Source organism: Homo sapiens, chromosome 2, assembly GCF_000001405.40.
Source record: "Homo sapiens chromosome 2, GRCh38.p14 Primary Assembly".
Lineage (NCBI taxonomy): Eukaryota > Metazoa > Chordata > Mammalia > Primates > Hominidae > Homo > Homo sapiens.
Window position 1 is genome coordinate 210,436,916 of NC_000002.12, and position 21,994 is coordinate 210,458,909.

Consider the following 21,994-nt stretch of genomic DNA (forward strand, 5'->3'; position numbering starts at 1 on the left):
GTGTTCTTAAAAGTAGGATAAGGCAGTTTAAAAAGTTTTTCTATTATTAACATATCTAATTCTCTGAAATGTAGAATATGATACACTAAAAGCTTATTTATGAGATGCCAGCGCCCAGCGATAGTCTGCAGAGTTGTAATTTGTTGATTTGGCACCAATGGTCATAGATATCTTTTTTTTTCTCAACTAAAAATCTGCGTTGATTGCAGTTCTGTGAAGGCATGCTTTCTATTAGTGTTATTTATGCACTACAATGGAATCATACAATATTTGTCCTTTTATATCTATTTATTTCACTTAGCATGTTTTCAAGGTTCATCCATGTTGTAATATGTATCAGAAAGTCATTCTTTTAATAGCAGAATAATAATCCATTGCATTGTGATATGTTCCATTGTATATATGACATTTTATCAATTCATCTGTTGATGAATACTTGGATTATTTTCACCTGTGGCAATTATAAATAATGCCGTTATGAATGCTTGGTTTTGGTTCTTTCGAGTACACACCTAGGAGTGGAATTGCTAGATAATATGCTGGATCATAAACAATATCTCATTGCAACCTAAGTGTTGTTAAAAGTAGGATATGAAACAATGGCTGCTATGGTACAGATAGATGGTGAGAATGAATTATAATTCATTTAGTAAAGTGATCTTAGGTCCCACAAGAGATTTATTTATTGTTCCTTTATGGATTAGGATAAAACTAATTTTAAATTATAAATTTTTGGTTATTTAAAAAAATTTATTTCAAAAATACACACAGTACCTTATAGGCCTGGATGAGCATGTAGATTACCCCAGGGGCGCCATGGCACCAATGGACAAGCAGATCTCGATTATCACCTATACATGGAGGGTAATTGCCAGAAGGGAATTTCAGCTGGCAGACGTAGTCTACACTGGGCTTGACCAAACTATGTAACTTCCCTTGGCTCACTTGAAGGCTGGGCTAAAAATGAGAAGGAAATTATTAGTTCTGCTGAAGCAAATAAACCTTCCTAGGTCTCAGTATATTTAAACCAGAAAAAAAGCATGGCTAAGGGGAAATGGAAGGTCATTAAGAGGTTTTGGATTTCATCCAATTTTTCCACCTATTGGATGCCTTTATTTTAAGCTTTTGTGATTTCATTTAAAAATTTTAAACAATGGGACAAAGTAAAATTGCTATCAGTTAACTCTTAGGGCCTTTTGTATATATGGTTTTTCTTTCTTTTTTTTTTTTTTTTTTGAGATGGAGTTTCACTCTTGTCACCCAGGCTGAAGTGCAATGGTGCGATCTTGGCTCCCTGCAACCTCCACCTCCCGGGTTCAAGTGATTGTCCTGTCTCAGCCTCCCAAGTACTTGGGATTACAGATGCCTGTCACCACGCCTGGCTAATTTTTGTGTTTTTAGTAAAGACGGGGTTTCACCATGTTGGCCAGGCTGGTTTTGAATTCCTGACCTCAGATGATCCGCCCACCTTGGCCTCCCAAAGTGCTGGGATAACAGGCATGAGCCACTGTGCTCGGCATTTTGTATATATTGTTTTTCAATATTAATTGCTATCTACATACATATAAATAATTTTCCTAAGTCAATGCCTATGAATGTGAGTGTAAGAGAAGTTTCTCATGGTTTCAATATATAAAACAAGCTTTAAAAGTCACAAAGAGATGCACTGGACAAACCAAGCATGACTTTCGTTATTACATTTAGAGAAGAGATAGGTGGTATTTTCAATAGAAAAAGGATACTAACAAGTTAAGAGACCTGGAATCTAGATTCCAAACTACAGCATGCCTCTAGATCAAGTCTTTTTGCAGAGGATTTAGGACTGATCTAAATGCCACATTATTTTGACATAACAACGTACAGATCCATAGGACATACTGACATACAGCATATGAGCCACCATTTTTGATACACATTTTAGTTTCTCCTTTTGGTCCTGTTCTTAATTCAATGACTGCTAATGTCTTTAACAGATTCAAAGTGCTGTTTCACTAGGCAAGGTGTGGGGCATGTGGTGGTGAGGGGTGGGCAGTGGTGTGAAGCACAGGCAGGAGGCGGTCGTGGTGGGGTCAAAGCAATGCTGACAATATGACTTCCACAAGATTCTGAAAGTGGACTGAGTTGTTTAGAAGGCAGATTTCATTTCATACAAAGAATAGCATTTAAGCTCAGAGTGTTACAGTAGAATGAGTGGACTCTCCTCAAACTTGCAGGAATTACCCAACATGGCCTAAAAATAATGATGTTTTATTTTATGTTGATGAAGGCGTACCTACTAGAATAGACTTTCAGGATTAAAAATTAAATCATTTCAAAGAGATGATAACCTGCAAATGGAAAAATCAATACTTGGGTTTTCAGATTTCTTACTACAGCTAACACAAGGAGGCAGAGTATGTCTCCTGATTATTTGTTTCAATGAAAGTTTGATGAGGCTGTCTAGTCACTAACCAACTATGTCTCCTGATTATTTGTTTCAATGAAATTTCGATAAGGCTGTCTAATCCTCTTTGGAGAGGGCCTCTAGTATGTTTGATTCTAACTAACCTTGAAACTTCAGAAGACTCTTCTTTCCTGAAAGCTTTTAGGAATCTACATTTACTACTGGGAATAGAGAGGAAGACATGCACCAGAAAAATAAAGAAATTTAAGTCTAAATGTCAACATCCTAATTATATAACCTCTAATTGAAAAGTGTAGAATAAATACGCTAGTCTCTGATTGCCACTAACACTCAATGTGTGACTCTGCATTCAAAAATAATAATAATCTTGAGTTTTTCAGTTCTGTTGTCCTTGTTTATTTATAGGTAGAGGGCAGGTCCAACACTGATCTTGTATTATAAGAGCCAGCTACTCAAAGAGCTGGTAGTATGTATATCCAAGCACTCCTGCTGAACACGTTAATGAAACACTTTTCTTTATGCCACAGTGTGCCTTGGGAAGGTGACAGGGGTACCTCTGCTGCCATTAAAAATCAATTTTCTTTGCCATGAATTCTTATTCAGAAGTGCCAGTTTCTCCTTAAGGAGAGCTTCGTAAGTCTCCCAAAATGATGCTCTCCTGAGAAGTCCTCTTCTGATCTCTCCCAAGTTATGTCTGCTGCAGTAAATTCTATCTGTCTTTAGTCTATTTGACTTTGGTTGATGTGCCCCAATAGTATTAGATCCCAAGAACTGTAGGGCAGAGCATATTCAGCTGTTTTTCAGGTAAGTAGAAGTCTCCTCAGCTTTGCTCTCTAAGTGAGCATTAGGCAACAAGTGCTCATTTGTTTTCTATTGATTTTGTTCTTATTCCTGGAATTTGTTGGAATCAGTTGTACCTTTTAATGTGGAATAATAGTTTTAATTCAAAGCACTGGCTGAAAGAGCAGAGCAGAGGCACTTCATACAGAATTATAAGTCAAAACACTTTAGTCTGCACAAGTGGCACTAAGTGGGCAAGCACGATCACCTGCAAATCAAACATCATTTTAAAACGCAGGGCCTTTAATGTTTATACACTTTTAAAGGCACCTTCGTAAACATTACTTTTGTTTGTCTAGGACAAGTAATTACAAGGAGAGTACTGTAATGCAGTGGTTGACAGAATGACAAACTAGAACTAGAATATCTGTTTTCTCACCCATGATAGTACATGGGTCAGGAAGGACATTTTAAAATTTCACCATAATCACTCCTTACCTGCATCAGGTAGTAATAAATTCCAGCCAGGCCATGAGCAGCCCCTACATAATATTCCTGGTACCATTCATACATCAGTGGAGACTTTGCCGTGAAGTTTCTCTTCCTAGCTAGGTTTTCTCCAGAGGTTAAAATTGTTTCACAAATCTACAGGGAGAAAACCAACCAAAATAACAAGTTAACTGAACAAAAATCTTCCTGGAGGAGGTAAAGACTTTTTTGCTAAGAGGTACTGGGGAACATGACAAATTAGACACCAGCTTATAGCCAGGGAAAGGCACAGTTTAATTCTCCATCAGAGAAGTGTGTGGGACTGTATTTAGCCTAGAAGGGGGAGGGCGTAGAGGATCTTGAGCTCTTTGCATTACAGTTTACAAGAGTTCGCCTGTCAAAGAAAAGCATAAACTCCTCTAGGCACCACCAAAGGAGATCCTCCATCTGGGAGGTGAAATTTGGCTCTAATCCTCTTTGGAGAGGGCCTCTAAATTCTGAAATGGAGCAGACTGGCCTTCGGACTCTTGAGACAGAAATGTTTCCAACAGCACTCCGTAGAAAGCTATTGGTTCTTGGACTGTGCCCAACCTTTAGAGGTCCAGATACACCTTCCTTTATATGGAATGTGCTAACTACAGAGACATAAACAATAGTTTAGGCAGATAGTAAGTAAATGGGATCCTAAAAAGGCTCCTAAAAACACAAAAACGTGGTACCTGCTGAATATGGCTTTGAGGAATCTTTTCCACTCCAAAGTTCTTATTGACAAAAAGAAGAGCATAGATGTAGCCTATTCGCCCATAGAGCATTTCATTTGGAGCATGAGGATCAATCTTATTTAGGTGAATTAGCCTAAAAATAAAAATACATGCCCCAAATAATTTGAAAGGAACCAGGTATTGGTGTATACTTAAAAATGGTACATTGAAAAAAATATACATGCACACAAAATATGTATTTATACATATATAATATCTATTTATAGAACAGTCACGGTTCACAGATTAGCCCTCCATTAAATTTCTTCACTTAACAATGGAACTGACAAATACATTCATAAAATGAAAGAATACAAATGTATGGCTGAGGCTATCTGAAATCTCCCTAGTTCCTCATGGAGGCAGGCCCTAAGGTGAGTATTTTAGCAGTTGGGGTCAAAGAAGCCAAGAACTGCTGGCTTTTAGGGCATTTAGCCCAGAGAAAGGACTAAGCCAACACTCAAATGGCCCATCATCTCCTTCCTTGGTTTATTTCTTAATGTGTCACCAGGCCTACTTGAAGTAGGTTTCATCTATCACAGTCAATAATACATGTACATTTTTTTTTTTTTTTGAGACAGTTTCGCTCTTCTTGCCCAGGCTGGAGTGCAATGGCGTGATCTCGGCTCACCGCAACCTCCGCCTCCCAGGTTTAAGTGATTCTCCTACCTCAGCCTCGCGAGGGGATGGGATTATAGGTACACACCACCACACCTGGCTAATTTTGTATTTTTAGTAGAGACGGGGTTTCTCCATGTTGGTCACGCTGGTCTCCAATTCCCGACCTCAGGTGATCAGCCTGCCTCAGCCTCCCAAAGTGCTGGGATTATAGGTGTGAGCCACTGCAACTGGCCAATACATGCAAATATTAATAGTACAAGAGGTGTCAGTCAGGTCTCCATCTCCTCAGTCTCCCAGCCTTCTAGTTCTCCTCAGAAATCACCATGGTTACCATTTTTTTGTGTGTATTCCTAGATTTTATGTACACATAAGCATAAATATACATATGTATAAATATTCTACAGCTTGCTATTTAACAATACATCTTGACAATGGTTCCATAACAGCACACAGAGTAGTCACATTCTTTGTAATACTTGCATAGAACCCCACTGAATTATAGTTCATTCAATCCCTACGGATAGACTCAGTTGAGCTTCTCAGAAAAAGTTACTTTCAGTTCTGATTTCAGGTAAGATGGAGCAAGCATGCTCTGCACCTTGTGTCTCCCTCAAAATGTGGCTCTAAAACCTGGACAGGATACAGCAGCTATTTGAGGTCTCTGAAAAGCAAACAGTAACATGCAAAAAGGGGAAGAGGACAGGAATCTGAAGTAGCACCAAACCAATGGTGAGTTTACCATTTTTTCTCTCTGGTATTCCCCGGTCTGAACTCAGTACAGCACAAAACCCAAAAGTAGGCACAAGTAGGCTTATAGAGACCCAGAAGAAGCCCTCTAGTGCTGTCTGAACAAAGAGAACTCCTAATATCAGAGAGAATGGGTTAACCCTCCATTTTTCTTTATTTTCCTTTTCTCAGTTCTCTTGTGCCCCAAGCTACAAAGCAATCTCATGCTGGGAGCAGGTGCGAAGACAAGGGGAGCCCTGGGAGCCTAAACTCTGAGGGAGGGAAATTTCCCCACAGATTGGAGGAACTGCAGTCTTAGGAGGGGGTTATAAGCCCCCATTGCTTTACTTCTCTGTCCTCCACATCACCTGGCCCCAGATGCATGCATAGTCATAGACATGGCACAGCAGGGTCATCAAAGCCCCACCCTTTTCATCAGAGACCAAAAGGGGAAGCCTCAGGAACCAGCAAGTAGGGGAGAAGATCACAGAGGGAAGTCAGTTTAGGAAAGTAACCATCTTTGGTAGTTTGACCTCTGAGAATGTTCCCTTTTTGGGGGGAGGGGAGTGGGCAGCAAATATGATAGGGAAGAAAAATGTCCTTGCTATTTTAGATGTTTTGTCACATGAAATTTTGAAGTGCATCTCAATCATCCCTAAATTAGCCTATAAATTTGATATGATCCTATTTAAGTTAAAACATTTTAATTTTTGGTGAAACTTAACAAAATGATATTAGCACAAAGAGCCAATGAAACTCTGGAAGAAAGTAGTAATGAGACGACATTAGCCCTAACAAATGTTATCAGGTAGCTTTCGACACTAAATCTTTGTTCTTAAAATTTTTCATCTGTGAAATAAATAGTCCCTTCCAGTTTAGAAATTATCGTGTTTATCTATATGGAAATTTAATTTTAAAGTAGTTAAGCAGAAGCAGTGTGCCGTGCCTGTGCATGTCTGTCATCTAACTTCAGTCTATACACTAGGGATGGTTAATTAGCATTTGAAGTAACAAACATCAGGTCCCTCCAACCCCCGCCCCAAAGTGATGTATTTGAAGTACTCTAAGCAGGAGTCAACACTCAGAGGTACTCAGCACTGAAGTGCCTCTTTTTCATATAGGAACTTTATCAAAATCTACACCAGAGAATTTGTTATTATTAAGGAATGATAGAAAATGGTTTTTCATTGGTGGAATGAGTGGTAAAGATGGGCTGGAGGTTTGGAAGATGGTACGGGCTTTCCCACTCTTTGATGAATAAAGTCTAAGAAGGGCTTGAGGGCAATGTGACTTTCTCTGAGCTACAAAAACAGGGTAGGAGACTGTATGTATGTATGTATGTGTGTCTAAAGAGTATCTTCTTCCTAAAGTGTTTGCACAGTTGGCAGAATTGGGCACCCACTTGTGCTTTCATTTGAACATACTCAGAAGGTAGGGGTAGAGCTGAGGGGGTTTACAGCCTTTACTGCCAGTCTCTGGAGACCACCAATATGTACAACAAAAACAAACAAAATCAAACAAAATCCCAAGCAAACAAAAACCTAACAATTGTTACCACCAGGCTATAGATACAGTGAGTGAAAACATCCTAGCTCAGCAAGGAGGGCAGATATGAAAGAGAACAATCTTCCTCTCCCATCTCCCTCTCCACTACTTCCACACGCTTGTGGTGAGGGGGGAGAAAACATTTAAAATGAAGAGGATAGGTTTTAAATAAGCAGAATGAGATGATTTTAGTGAGTGAAAGTGGCTGACAGTTATGAAAGAAAGACTGAGAGAAACTTATGAAGGAGTCTTTAAGGGAACTGCAGGAAAGTGGGGGTTGAAAAAGCATGGCTAGTTGCAGTTAGTGAAACAGTTTAAACTTTTTCATATTATTTCCTCATCAAATTGAGGCAACTCAAATTAGTTAAATATGCAAATGCTGGCTCATCCATTTTTTTCTTCTACAAATATAGGCAACAATTCATAGTGAAACAGTGGTTATCTTAGGAAGAGATATACTGAGAAATAGATAACCAAGAAACTTGGCTAGAGGTTTCTTTCCTTTTTCTTCTAATACATTTTCTTGTATACTTTGACCTTTTTTAAAACAATAGGGCTTATGGATAGAATTATGGGCCATTTTGTTTTCTACTTCGATACCATATATATCTACACACACACACTCCCTTAATTTTTAAAAGTAATTTTTAATTTTTGAATACGAATTTTAAATTTTTAATAAAAACATTTATTAAGAATTTTTTTTCTCATTCCAGAACTGGGAGCTCAGTAACGTTGGGGCCATAAGAAAACAAAATGTGTTTATTAGATACAAATTCAACTGTTACAGTAAACAATGAATATCTCAAGTTTTGATATGAACCTATTTTTAATATAAATGTGTCAAATTATATAGAAGTTCAATATAAAGTACTTTTGACTTACTTTTGCAAAGATTGAAAGAACTATGAAAAAAAATTACTGTAATTTTTTTTAAACACATACTGTTCTATGGAAGTATTACACCGAATTACTGCATTGATTCCAATGATATTCCAACTGAAATAAAATATTTGAACCACGGCATTAACTCCATTCCTTTTTTGCTGATGTTAGGACATACATTACCACTAGGTGGCAATATATAATTAGCATTCCATTTACTTTGCAGCCAAACACATTTGCATTTGCAACATTCAAAGTAGGTAGCAAATACCTTTCAAATATTTATCTAAAATACAGTATTGCTCAGAGCATCTTATTAAAACAATACAGTTTAGGGTAATAAAGGAAGCATATCCCTTTTTTTCTGGATTTGAATTCAAATCACTAAAATTCATTAGTTGGGTTCGATGATTACTAGGACTTAACTGCAAGTTGTACATGCTATATTCTCAAGATATAAGACTAAAAATAAAATATTTATATTAAGATATAAAAATAAAGAAATGATATCACTGATAAATCATAATGGTTATTTTATGTGTTTTCAGAAACTCTCAAACTAACAAGCACTTTGTTGCAGCTTCATTTATTTGTTTTGATATGTTGATATTAATGCAACCCATCTTTAGAAGAGATAGCCAAGTCACTGAAATGTCACTGAAAGAAGAATGAAGACACACAAACAGGATAGTTCTGTTCCTCTCCTCACAGTACTTCCTCAGGGTGTTACTGGGGAGAGTTTTTGGCCTTGTATTATCAAAAGGTTTGTAACTTTAAAAACAGATGTCCAGTGTCTGGGCAGGGCATTTCTGAAAAAAAGGCAGCAGCCCCAGTCAGGGAATTACAGATAAAACCCCTATCTCCCTAGGACAGAGCACCTGGGGGAAGGGGTGGCTGTGGGCACAACTTCAGCAGACTTAAACATTCCTGCGTGCCGGCTCTGAAGAGAGCAGTGGATCTCCCAGCACAGTGCTCGAGCTCTGCTGAGGGAAAGACTGTCTCCTCAAGTGAGTCCCTGCCCCCCTGTGCTTCCTGACTGGGAGACACCTCCCAGCAGGGGTCGACAGACACCTCATACAAGAGAGCTCCGGCTGGCATCTGGCGGGTGCCCTCTGGGACAAAGCTTCCAAAGGAAGAAACAGGCAGCTATCTTTGCTGTTCTGGAGGCGCCACTGGTGATCAATATCAACAAAAAGGACATCCACTCAGAAACCCCATCTGAAGGTCACCAACGTCAAAGACCAAAGGTAGATAAATCCACGAAGATGGGAGAAACCAGTGCAAAAAGGCTGAAAATTCCAAAAACCAGAATGCTGCTTCTTCTCCAAAGGATCACAACTCCTTGCCAGCAAGGGAACAAAACTGGGTGGAGAATGAATTTGACAAATTGACGGAAGTAGGCTTCAGAAGGTGGGTAATAACAAACTCCCCTGAGCTAAAGGAGCATGTTCTAACCAAATGCATGGAAGTTAAGACCCTTGAAAAAAGCTTAGAGGAATTGCTAACTAGAATAACCAGTTTTGAGAAGAACATAAACGACCTGATGGAGCTGAAAAACACAGCATGAGAGCTTTGTGAAGCATACACAAGTATCAATGGCCAAATTGATCAAGCAGAAGAAAGGATATCAGAGATTGAAGATCAATTTGATGAAATAAAGCATGAAGACAAGGTTAGAGAAAAAAGAATAAAAAGGAACGAAAGCCTCCAAGAAATAACGGACTATGTGAAAAGATCAAACCTACATTTGCTGTACCTGAAAGCGACGGGGAGAATGCAACCAAGTTGGAAACACTCTTCAGGATATTATCCAGAACTTCCCCAACCTTCACATTCACATTCAGGAACAACATTCACATTCAGGAAACAGAAAGCACCACAAAGATACTCCTTGAGAAGAGCAACCCCAAGACACATAATCGTCAGATTCACCAAGGCTGAAATGAAGGAAAAAGTGTTAAGGGCAGCCAGTGAGAAAGGTCGGGTTACCCACAAAGGGAAGCCCATCAGACTAACAGTGGATCTCTATGCAGAAACCCCAGAAGCCAGAAGACAGTGGGGGCCAATATTCAACATTCTTAAAAGAATTTTCAACCTAGAATTTTATATCCAGCCAAACTAAGCTTCATAAGCAAAGGAGAAATGGAGAAATAAAATCCTTTACGGACAAGCAAATGCTGAGAGATTTTGTCATCACCAGGCCTGCCTTACAAGAGCTCCTGAAGGAAGCACTCAACATGGAAAGGAACAACTGGTACCAGCTACTGCAAAAACATACCAAATTGTAAAGACCATTGACACTATGAAGAAACTGCATCAACTAGTGGGCAAAATAACCAGCTACATCATAATGACAGGATCAAATTCACACATAACAATATTAACCTTAAATGTAAATGAGCTAAATGCCCCAATTAAAATACACAGACTGGCAAATTGGAGGAAGAGTCAAGACCCATAGGTATGCTGTATTCAGGAGACCCAGCTCATGTGCAAAGACACACATAGGCTCAAAATAAAGGGATGGAGGCATATTGACCAAGCAAATGGAAAGCAAAAAAAAGGCAGGGGTTGCAATCCTAGTCTCTGATAAAACAGACTTTAAACCAACAAAGATCAAAAGAGACAAAGAAGGCCATTACATAATGGTAAAGGGATCAATGCAACAAGAAGAGCTGAATATCCTAAATGTATATGCACCCAATACAGGAGCACCCAGATTCATAAAGCAAGTTCTTAGAGACCTACAAAGAGACTTAGACTCCCACACAAAAATAGTGGGAGACTGTAACACCCCACTGTCAATATTAGACAGATCAACAAGCAGAAAATTAACAAGGATATTCACGACTTAAACTCAGCTCTGGACCAAGCAGACCTAATAGACATCTATAAAACTCTCCACCCCAAATCAACAGAATGTACATTCTTCTCAGCACCACATCACACTTATTCTAAACTTGACCTCATAATTGGAAGTAAAACATTCCTCAGCAAATGGAAAAGAATGGAAATCCTAACAGTCTCTCAGGCCATAGTGCAATCAAATTAGAACTCAGGATCAAGAAACTCACTCAGAACTGCACAACTACACGGAAAGTGAACAACCTGCTCCTGAATGACTACTGGGTAAATAACGAAATTAAGGCAGAAATAAATAAGTTCTTTGAAACCAATGAAAACAAAGACACAATGTACCAGAATCTCTGGCATACAGCTAAAGCAGCGTTTAGAGGGAAATTTATAGCACTAAATGCCCACAAGAGAAAGAAGGAAAGATCTAAAATCGACACCTTAACATCACAATTAAAAGAACTAGAGAAGCAATAGCAAACAAATTCAAAAGCTAGCAGAAGACAAGAAATAAGTAAGATGAGAGCAGAACTGAAGGAGATAAAGACATGAAAAACCCTTCAAAAAAAATCAGTGAATCCCAGAGTTGGTTTTTTGAAAAGATCAATAAAATAGATAGACCACTAGCCAGACTAATAAAGAAGAAAAGAGAGAAGAATCAAATAGGCACAATAAAAAATGATAAATGGGGATATCATCACTGATCCCACAGGAATACAAACTACCATCAGAGAATACTATAAACATCTCTATGCAGATAAACTAGAAAATCTAGAAGAAATGGATAAATTCCTTGACACATACACCCTCCCAAGACTAAACCAGGAAGAAGCTGAATCCCTGAATAGACCAATAACAAGTTCTGAAATTGAGGCAGTAATTAATAGCCTACCAACCAAAAAAAGTCCAGGACCAGACAGATTCACAGCCGAATTCTACCAGAGGTACAAGGAGGAGCTGGTACCATTCCTTCTGAAACTATTCCAAACAACAGGAAAAAAGGGACTCCTCCCTAACTCATTTTATGAGGCATCATCCTGATACCAAAACCTGGCAGAGACACAACAAAAAAAAGAAAATTTCAGGCCAATATCCCTGAAAAACATCAATATGTAAATCCTCAGTAAAATACTGGCAAACCAAATCCAGCAGCACATCAAAAAGCTTATCCACCATGATCAAGTCAGCTTCATCCCTGGGATGCAAGGCTGGTTCAACATACACAAATCAATAAATGTAATCCGTCACATAAACAGAACCAAAGACAAAAACCACATGACTATCTCAATAGATGCAGAAAAGGCCTTCCACAAAATTCAACAGCCCTTCATGCTAAAAACTCTGAATAAACTAGGTATTGATGGAATGTATCTCAAAATAGTAAGAGCTATCTATGACAAGCCCACAGCCAATATCATACTGAATGGGCAAAAACTAGAAGCATTCCCTTTGAAAACCAGCACAAAACAAGGATGCCCTCTTTCACCACTCCTATTCAACATAGTATTGGAAGTTCTGGCCAGGGCAATCAGGCAAGAGAAAGAAATAAAGGGTACTCAGATAGGAACAGAGGAAGTCAAATTGTCTCTGTCTGCAGACGACATGATTGTATATTTAGAAAACCCCTTCATCTCAGCCCAAGATCTCCTTAAGCTGCTGATAAGCAAAGTCTCAGGATACAAAATCAATGTGCAAAAATCACAAGCATTCCTATACGCTAATAATAGACAAAGAGCCAAATCATGGGTGAACTCCCATTCACAATTGTTACAAAGAGAATAAAATACCTGGGACTACAACTTACAAGGGATGTGAAGGACCTCTTCAAGGAGGACTACAAACCACTGCTCAAGAAAATAACAGAGGACACAAACAAATGGAAAAACATTCCATGCTCATGGATAGGAAGAATCAATATTGGGAAATGACCACACTGCCCAAAGTAATTTATAGATTCAATGCTATCCCCATTAAGCTACCACTGACTTTCTTCACAGAATTAGAAAAAACTAGTTTAAATTTCATATGGAACCAAAAAAGAGCCTGCATAGCCAAAAGAATCTTAAGCAAAAAGAACAAGGCTGGATGCATCATGCTACCTGACTTCAAACTATACTACAAGGGTCCATTAACCAAAACAGCATGGTACTGGTACCAAAAACAGATATATAGACCAATAGAACAGAACAGAGGCCTCAGAAATAACACCACACACGTACAGCCATCTGATCTTTGACAAACCTGACAAAAATAAGCAATGGGGAAAGGATTCCCTACTTAATAAATGGTGCTGGGATAACTGGCCAGCCATATACAGAAAACTGAAACTGGACCTCTTCCTTATACTTTATACAAAAATTAACTCAAGATGGATTAAAGACTTAAATGTAAGGCCTAAAACCATAAAATCACTAGAAGACAACCTAGGCAATACCATTCAGGACATAGGCATGTGTAAAGACTTCATGACTAAAACACCAAAAGCAATGGCAACAAAAGCCAAAATTGACAAATGGGATCTAATTAAACTAAAGAGCTTCTGAATATCAGAAGAAACTATCATCAGAGTGAACATGCAACCTATAGAATGGGAGAAAATTTTTGCAATCTATCCATCTGACAAAGGGCTAATATCCAGAATCTACAAATTTACAAGAAAAAAACATAACTCCATCAAAAAGTGGGCAAAAGATATGAACAGATACTTCTCAAAAGAAGACATTTATGTGGCCAACAAAGATATGAAAAAAAGCTCATCATCACTGGTCATTAGAGAAATGCAAATCAAAACCACAATGCGATACCATCTCAAGCCAGTTAGAATGGCGATCATTAAAAAGTTAGGAAACAACAGATGCTGCATAGAATGTGGAGAAATAGTAATGCTTTTACACTGTTGGTGGGAGTGTAAATTAGTTCAACCATTGTGGAAGACAGTGTGGCAATGCCTCAAGGATCTAGAGCCAGAAATACCATTTGACCAGCAATTCCATTACTGGGTATACACCCAAAGGATTATAACTTATTCTACTACAAAGACAAATGCACACGTATGTTTATTGCAACACTGTTCACAATAGCAAAGACATGGAACCAACCCAAATGTCCACCAAAGATAGACTGGATAAAGAAAATGTAGCACATATACAACATGGAATACTATGCAGCCATAAAAAAGGATGAGTTCATGTCCTTTGCAGGGACATGGATGAAGCTAAAAACCATCATTCTCAGCAAACTAACACAAGAACAGAAAACCAAACACCACATGTACTCACTCATTAAGTGAACAATGAGAACACATGGACACGGGGAGGGGAACATCACACACCGGGGCCTGTCAGGGGGTGGGGGACTAGGGGAGGGATAGCATTAGGATAAATACTTAATGTAGATGACAGGTTGATTGGTGCAGCAAACCACCATGGCACGTGTATACCTGTGTAACAAACCTGCATATTCTACACATGTACCCCGGAACTCAAAGTATAATAACAACAAAAAAGTAGAAGCATAAGCAATGATTTTTACAAGCCATAATAATAGGTAACATTTATAAGTACTTTTTCAGTTTAGGTGCCATAATTTATGCTAAGTGATTTCCATCAATTATCTCAAATAAATAATCTGCACAACATTCCTTATCTCTATTTTACAAATGAGAGACTAAGGTTTAGAGTAATTTACCCAAGATCACACAGTAGGGAGTGCAGCTGGAATTCCAAAGCCCCCATAGCACTCACAGCCCCACACTGGCTATATAGGCTCCAGGCTTCCTTCTCCAGAACCTACTAAATAGCCTTTTAAAAATTCCTTTTCTGAGATAAAAAAGAAATGTGGTATATACATATAATGGAATATTATTCAGTCATTGAAAGGAACAAAGTTTTGATACATTCTATAACGTAGATAAACCTTGAAGACACTATGCTAAATGGAGTAAGCCAGACACAAAAGAACAAATGTATAATCCACTTATATAAAATACGTAAAATAAGCAAATTCATAGAAAAAGTAGAATATAGATTACCAGGGGATGATGGTATGGGGGTATGGGGAATTACTTTTTAATGGGTACAGTTTCTGTTGGAGTAATAAAACATTTTTTGAAAATAAATAGTGCTGATGGTTGTACAACACTGTGAATATAATTAATGCCAATGAACTGTACATTTAAAAATGGTTAAATTGCAAATTTTATGTTATGTATATTTTACCACAATAAATATTTTTAAATCCCTTTTCTGCTTATTAAAAAAAAAAAAAAGATGTCCATTACTGACTCGTCACACTACAAGAAGGGAGGTTATATATTTCTGGACCAGAAAGCCAGAGCGCTTCATCATTCTAAGTACTGGCCCCAAAGCACTATAAATGTTAGGTTAGCCATCTAATTGGGAACAGGCAACACACTTTATTCATGTTGTGGCACTGATGTGTAGAAGTGGGTGGGATGAAAACAGATCTGATATGTATCAGGCAGTAGAACAAATTAATGCAATGTATTGTCCTCCCCTCCACTCCCCAGCCATTTGTAGGACAATTTGAACATGAACATACACACACACACCCTCCTTTTGGGGAGTTATAGATCCCTTTAAGAAAAGCACAAATGCTCCCTCCTTGAATATAATTTGGGGGTTTTATACACTGCCAGAAACCCTAAGATTCTGGCCCAAGGTTAAGAATATGTACTATAGGGAAACACTGATTTCCTTGGATTTCAATTTCTGTAAGGATTAGACTTTTGATGATCTCAAAGGACTGTCTGGTCTCTAAAACTTAAAAATTATGCTTTTGAAAGAACATTACATTAAGAAAATGTAGAAAAAGCAAGCTAGCTAGAACATGATGTTGGCAATGAAGCACAACAAAGGCAGTACACAGAGAATGTGAGCGTGGGATCTCAAAAGGTCTGTAAAATGAGAAAAAAGGTTTAGTAAAAAGTTAAAGGAGGTTTACTAAATAACTTATATTAAATAATTTTGGATTTCTTGAAATTAAGTCAAATTTCTAGATTTTTCCTTTGAAAAGATAAAGCAAACTCCGTAACTTACAAATCATTCCAAGTCATTCTTTTTCTGTTTTGTATAAAATAAAAAATCTGAAAAAAATCAAAGCTATAGCCACAAATAGTGTATTTTCCTATTATATTCACATACTATATTTTTAACCTTAACAAGCCTACTGGCTATAAATACTGTCGAAATGTCAAAATTTAAAAAGGTAAATGACAACAACACCCTTAGTACCAATATACCAAAAACAACAAAAATCTTAGCATACTCTTAGGAGCATTTTAATACACTAATATTGATATTGTACCATTTCCCAAAGAGTGTGTTAGAATAGGCCCTCAAGATTTCATGAAGAAGAGGGTTGTATAGGTGAGTTAACATTGGCAAGTGCTGCTCCCTAGAGTTGGCGTGTTGTCCCCAGGTATACAAGCTACAGAAGAAGCTAAGCAGCCGGTAAAGACACATATTTAATTTTGTTTAATTAGTGCTTTGATACAAATTCCCATCTGTTTGAATCTATGAATCTTGGTCTCATTGAACACATTAACATTTCTCACATAGCAAACTATTAAAATGTGGCTGCATGTATTATGGAAAGGCTGGCATTATATATAGAATATTGGGAGCACTACAATTTATCTGATGGTACTTAACAAGTGATTCACTGAATGAGAGTATCTTGTGGACCTCTAAAGCAGTTGTTGGCTGATGGCTTTAAACATCAGCTATGTAAAAAAAATTAAAAGGTAGTCTCTGTGTTTCAAATTTAGGTGAGTATGGAACAGTTTTTGTATTGGCAAGTCTTATGCAAGTCAGCTACTATGGAAGGAACACACTTTAAACTTTGGGGGAAATCACTGTTTTGTTTCATCTTTCATTTTGGTCGAGCTTGGTGACAGGTTTTATATTAAAAGCTTCTCAGCTCTGGAGTGGAATGTTCAGTTTTTTTCCTCTAGACACACTAAGTAATGTGTTTTTAAAGTTATACTATGTAATGTCTAGCCCCTAAGAAATGTAGCATAGGCATGTATTTAAAAAAAGGTGTTTTGAAGAATACGTCAATTCAGAAAATGATCCAATATAATGATTCCCAAATCATTTTGGGTGGAGCAAGACTCCCACCCCTTCTTTTTGTTACACTTTCCAGTGGAAAAAGTTAGTTACAATAAGAAAATATCACTGCATGGGAAAAAATTGGGAGAGAAGGGAGATATGCATACATACACACACACACACACACACACACACACACACACACACACACGCCTAAACAATAGGGGTATAAATCATTCCTTTTTTGAATACAGCACTATGATATCTTAAAAAGTCCAAAAAGCCTGTTGTTTAAATATACACCAGCAAACAGTATAAGATTAGCCAACGGATCCTAGACAAACTAAATTGGTGATGGTAATGCCATCCTAACAGTAATCTATAAGAAAGAATAGTGGGAATCAAACACCATGGTCAACTCAGGGACAGTCACTGGTTAAAACGTTGCTGGAGTGTTAGCACGCGCAGTGGAGCCTAAGAGCGATGCATGCAGAGTTGCACGGCAGCCAGGGTTCTTAGAACTCCGAAAGAGTGCTTAATAAACTCTGGTAAGGCAACAATTAAAGTCTATTAGTACAAACATTTAATAATTCTTCATAATTCACCAGCTTCTAGTGGACCACCATAATTTATACCAAAATGAAAATCAGGATGTGCATGTCATTGCCTCTAAGAAAGGCCGTTTTGAATCAGTCTGTGGTCCCTTAGAAGGACTCTCCCAGCCCACCTGTAGGAACTGAACTGCATTTCCTTGAATTACAGATCTTGGATAGCACTTTGGATTAGTAATCATATGTTAAGGCTTTCGATCTCATTTACATTATTGAACTGATGTTTAATCTGGAACATGACAGTGTCTTTTATCTTGCACTAAAATAGGGATTATAATCGTTGTTCCTTAACTACAACACAGGAATATGACAATTGATCAAATGACAGCAGTGAGATTTATCTGCTAAGAGAAAAGTAAACTCACTAGAATGTTCTTTTGTTAACACATGCAGAATTAATGCATAATGATGCTAGAAAATAATCCTCATATAGAAACATGATTACCGTGTGATGCAATCTTCTGCCTGCTTCTCATTGTTCATCTTGTGATATAGCACAGCGGCCACTGCCAGGGGGCCTGCATCCCCACAAAGGAAGGTGATGGAGCGCTTGGTTAAGCAGTTCAGACTTTGCTTTACATAGCCATGTGCTAACTGTAGGTAGGCAGGGTCCCCAAATACATCATAAAGATGTAAGTAAAGCACAGCAATACCTGAAAAAAAAAAAAGGAAACAATGTAAAGATGAGGAAAGGCAGTTATTTTATTATTTTTGGCATGGTGTCTACTCAGCAGCGATTTTTGATAACCTGTAGCAAATTTATTAATGATCTGGAAGTTTGGGTGACTTTAATTCTAGGCTCAGCTCTATTAGTAAGCAACTCTACGAACCAGCATAAGCCAACCACTTACTTGTCCTCAGTTTCCTCATTATGACAACTCTATTAAATAATAAGGTCTCTAAGGCTCTGGCCAATAAAGAGACACACAGCCTATTATTAGTCTTTGTTGTACTCTGGTTATTGTGTTAATGTATTCTTCTTGATGTCGAAATGATGTGTCATTAAACTAGGGTTCCAAATAAATGTAATTGATTTACCAATAATTATTTAATAAGAAAGGGTTTGTTGTGAACTAAAGAAATTCAAAGACCAGGGAATGAAAATTTCAATTTCTCTTTACGTAAAAGTTTGTTTTGTGTGTGTGTGTGTTTTTTTTTTTTTTTTTGTGAAAAGGTAGTTAATGTAACCAAATCCCCTGCCCCAGTATCCTTCCAGGCAGGGATTATAAGAAAGTTATTTGATAGCTGAGAAAAAATATTCAACCCCTAGATTTTTTTCTGTCGAGGGCCCACCTACTTTGGTAAATGTAATGTAAAAGCCACCAATGACTTTTGCCTTGGGCTCTACTTGATCAGTTTCTTACCCTACTCTTGAAGCCTGAAATATGTAATAGAGGCATTGTCTGCATGTCCTTATTTCAAATGCCTGTCACAGTGGAAAGAGCCTTCCCTCTGAAGCTAACTGGTCTCAGGGCAGACTCAAAGATGTGGAGTAGGAAGCCTGCCTGCCTGCCTGCAGCATATCCAGAAACCCATTTTTTCCCTTGAAGTACATTTTCCATCTCATTTGCGATTTTTAGAAGACACAGAACCTCTGTTTAAATTTAAATTAATAGAGCCAATCTTCACGGATTTCAATGCAGTAAAAATGCTGTCTGCAAAATTACTTTCCCTGTACTGAGGACAATTTTAAATTTAGATAGTTTTCTCATTTTGCATGGGTAATCTCCAAAGCTTTGTGCTACAGACAATTCAATTTCACATGTATATTAAGGCCAAATTTTCATTTCCTGCCAAAGTTAATAACCTTGACTGCTCTTTCAAAGTGGCTTGGTGTTAGTAATCCCACAAGCTGATGATCAGATGCATCAATGCTTAAGGTTTGTAGACAAGTGTACAAAACCTTGTGTGTAGGTAAGAAAAAAAAAAAAACCCTTTTCACAAATGATTGATGTCAAGAGCTTCTTCTAAAATTAGGTCCTTAATAGGCTTCATCTCCATCCATATCACGCATCTGCAGGTGATCCATTTAAATTGTTAACCTTTCATTTTGCCCTCCTATTCCCATTGCTGCCTGAACTCTCCTAGTTAAGTTATGTAAGCACCAAAGCCAGATAATGACATGATGGAGATCTGAGAAAATAAAAAGTGATTAAACACAAGCCCAGTGATTGTTTTTCTTTCAGATCTTTGTCTCTCATTAGCAACAATTCCTCTTGGCTTAACTATTTAACAAACAAAACCTATTAAGGCTTGCAATTGTAAGATTTGGTGTATTTCTCATGAAAAACAGGTAATCATTTCTCAAGTCTCACAAGAGTACATTTGGATTAAAACTTTCTTTTTGATAGGCAGAGAATTATCTTTCTAGTTTCTGGGATTCCACAATCTCATGTTCCAGTTCTCCCCTACCTCTCATTTGGGCCTCTGGGTCTGTGGATTTTGATAAGCAATCTTCTGCAGATGATAGTTTACTGTGTCTACATTCCCTGTCACAGAACATCCATGGTGGAAAAGGACTTTAAGTGGTGAGTGCTGCTGCCAATTAGAAAAAGTTTCCTGCACATGCTTATTATAAATCAGCCCAGGTCAGGAAAATAAGACAAAATGTATTATGTCACAGACATTTAATACCTCATCAGTATTTTATATAATAGAAAATAATAGAATGTGTCCTAATGACAGAAAAAAGGGAGGACTGCTTGTGGCCAAATGTCTTAAACCTGATCTTTATGGTCCTCAACTGTTGACAATAACCATGCATACACCACCACCTTTGAATCAATACCAAAGACTCAGGGATGGTTGGCAAGGTGGGAAATAAAAACACAACTTCACGGGCTTTGCAGGGAAAATTCACCCAGTCCTAATACATACTTGTGGGCCTGGCTTCAGTCAATGCCTAGAAATGCCTTCAAATGCAATGTTTATCAAAATATATATGTTCTTCATGGAAAAAATTATACAGTACTGAAAGATTTAATATGCAAAACACCAGTCCTCTGGTTTACTGTGTTCCTGCCTTCCAGAGGCAACCATTTTCATCAGTTTCAGCCATTTTCTCTAGTATCTGTCTATTTCTAATAATATGCTTATGTGCTATCTGTTAAGTTTTCTATGTCAGATATTTCTGACTCATATTCTACTCTAGAAAATGAGGAGTTAGCTCTTGTGATGGAGAGTAAGTGGTTTTCCAAATGTATCTTGCCTTTCTCTCAACAATAATGCCCTGGATTTTAGCTGGGCACAGGCTGCTAAGAACAATTTTCTTCACAGCCGGGTATGGCTATGTGGCGAAGTTCTGAACAACAGGATGCAGTGGGAGTAGTGGAGGCAACTTTGGAAAATGTTCTTGAAGGGAAGGCACTGGCGATTTATTTCCTTTTCTACTTTCTTCCTGGCTGGAATACAGATGTGATGGTGCAGCTAGAGCAGTCATCGTCTAAGGACCATGAGTTGGAAGCTCTGTGCTGAGGGTGGTAAAGTTTCAAAGATCAAAGCCACCTAATCCTGGAGGACTGTGAAGCTGCCACACCAGTCCATGGATTGCCTACTTACATAAGAGAAAAATAAACTTCGGTTCTGTTAAAGCCACTGTTATTTTAGATGTATTGCCATGTCCTGGTAGGCCTAATCCTAAGGAAGACAGCTCTTCTCAAAGCTAGAGAGGCAGGCAGAAGCTAGATTACACAGAGTCTAGCAGGCCAGTTAGGATTTGGAGTTTCATTTGAAATGCACCCATTTTAAGCGTGGGAAGAATATACTTAGATTTGTTTTGTTAAAAGTTCACCATAACTGCACTGTAAGGTTTGCAAGGGAGTGTATGAAACAGTGGATGCAGGAGGAACAGTTAGGAGGATGCTTCAGGAGTAGGAGCGAGACACAGGGTGGGTGGTGCAATACAGATCTTGTCAGAATGAACTGGAAAGATACCTGTCTAGAAAGTAAAATCAGCAGAACCTGGTGGGGGATGGCGGAGAAGAAGATGTCAAAATGCCTCCCGATGACTAACTTCAACAGCTAAATGGAAAATGGTGCCATCCACTGAGATGGCAAACCCCTCTGTTGGAGAATCAGGTTTGGGAGGAAAGAGTACAGTTGTATCCATTAATAAATTCATTCCCAAATATGATTCTATTCTCTGAAGGACACTTAATGAGAAAAAACATTTCTACTGACTTCTAACATAACAGCCAAAATTGTTCGAGTTTTGACAAAGAATGATGTAGGCAGTTTCATCTTTTTAAT

At 38.0% G+C, this 21,994-nt stretch overlaps 1 protein-coding gene and 1 long non-coding RNA gene across 7 annotated transcripts in view, besides 1 other annotated feature; one reads left to right on the forward strand and one right to left on the reverse strand.

Moving 5' to 3' along the window:
* Positions 1-21,994, forward strand: part of LANCL1-AS1 (LANCL1 antisense RNA 1) — a 145,622-nt gene that overhangs the window by 112,204 nt on the left and 11,424 nt on the right. For 2 of the 3 annotated variants that reach the window (NR_110604.1, NR_110605.1), the window contains exon 3: positions 5,627-5,784. The exons of the other annotated variant lie outside the window; for it this stretch is intronic. This is a non-coding gene — a long non-coding RNA (LANCL1 antisense RNA 1). The remainder of the gene's footprint in view (positions 1-5,626; positions 5,785-21,994) is intronic. 3 annotated transcript variants of the gene reach the window in all.
* The window catches only part of LANCL1 (LanC like glutathione S-transferase 1), a 46,334-nt gene that overhangs the window by 5,665 nt on the left and 18,675 nt on the right, over positions 1-21,994 (reverse strand). For all 4 annotated transcript variants that reach the window (XM_005246243.3, NM_001136575.2, NM_001136574.2 and 1 more), the window contains exons 4-7: positions 18,192-18,399; positions 4,393-4,528; positions 3,683-3,829; positions 775-957 (exon numbers count right to left, since the gene is read on the reverse strand). In XM_005246243.3, coding sequence (XP_005246300.1) covers positions 775-957; positions 3,683-3,829; positions 4,393-4,528; positions 18,192-18,399 — 674 coding nt within the window. The remainder of the gene's footprint in view (positions 1-774; positions 958-3,682; positions 3,830-4,392; positions 4,529-18,191; positions 18,400-21,994) is intronic.
* Positions 5,851-6,436: an enhancer, noted in NCBI's record as "NANOG hESC enhancer chr2:211307490-211308075 (GRCh37/hg19 assembly coordinates)". NCBI's record gives its function as "activates a minimal SCP1, AML or CMV promoter by ChIP-STARR-seq in primed H9 embryonic stem cells {active_cell/tissue: H9 hESC(primed)}" and the evidence as "EXISTENCE:reporter gene assay evidence [ECO:0000049][PMID:30033119]".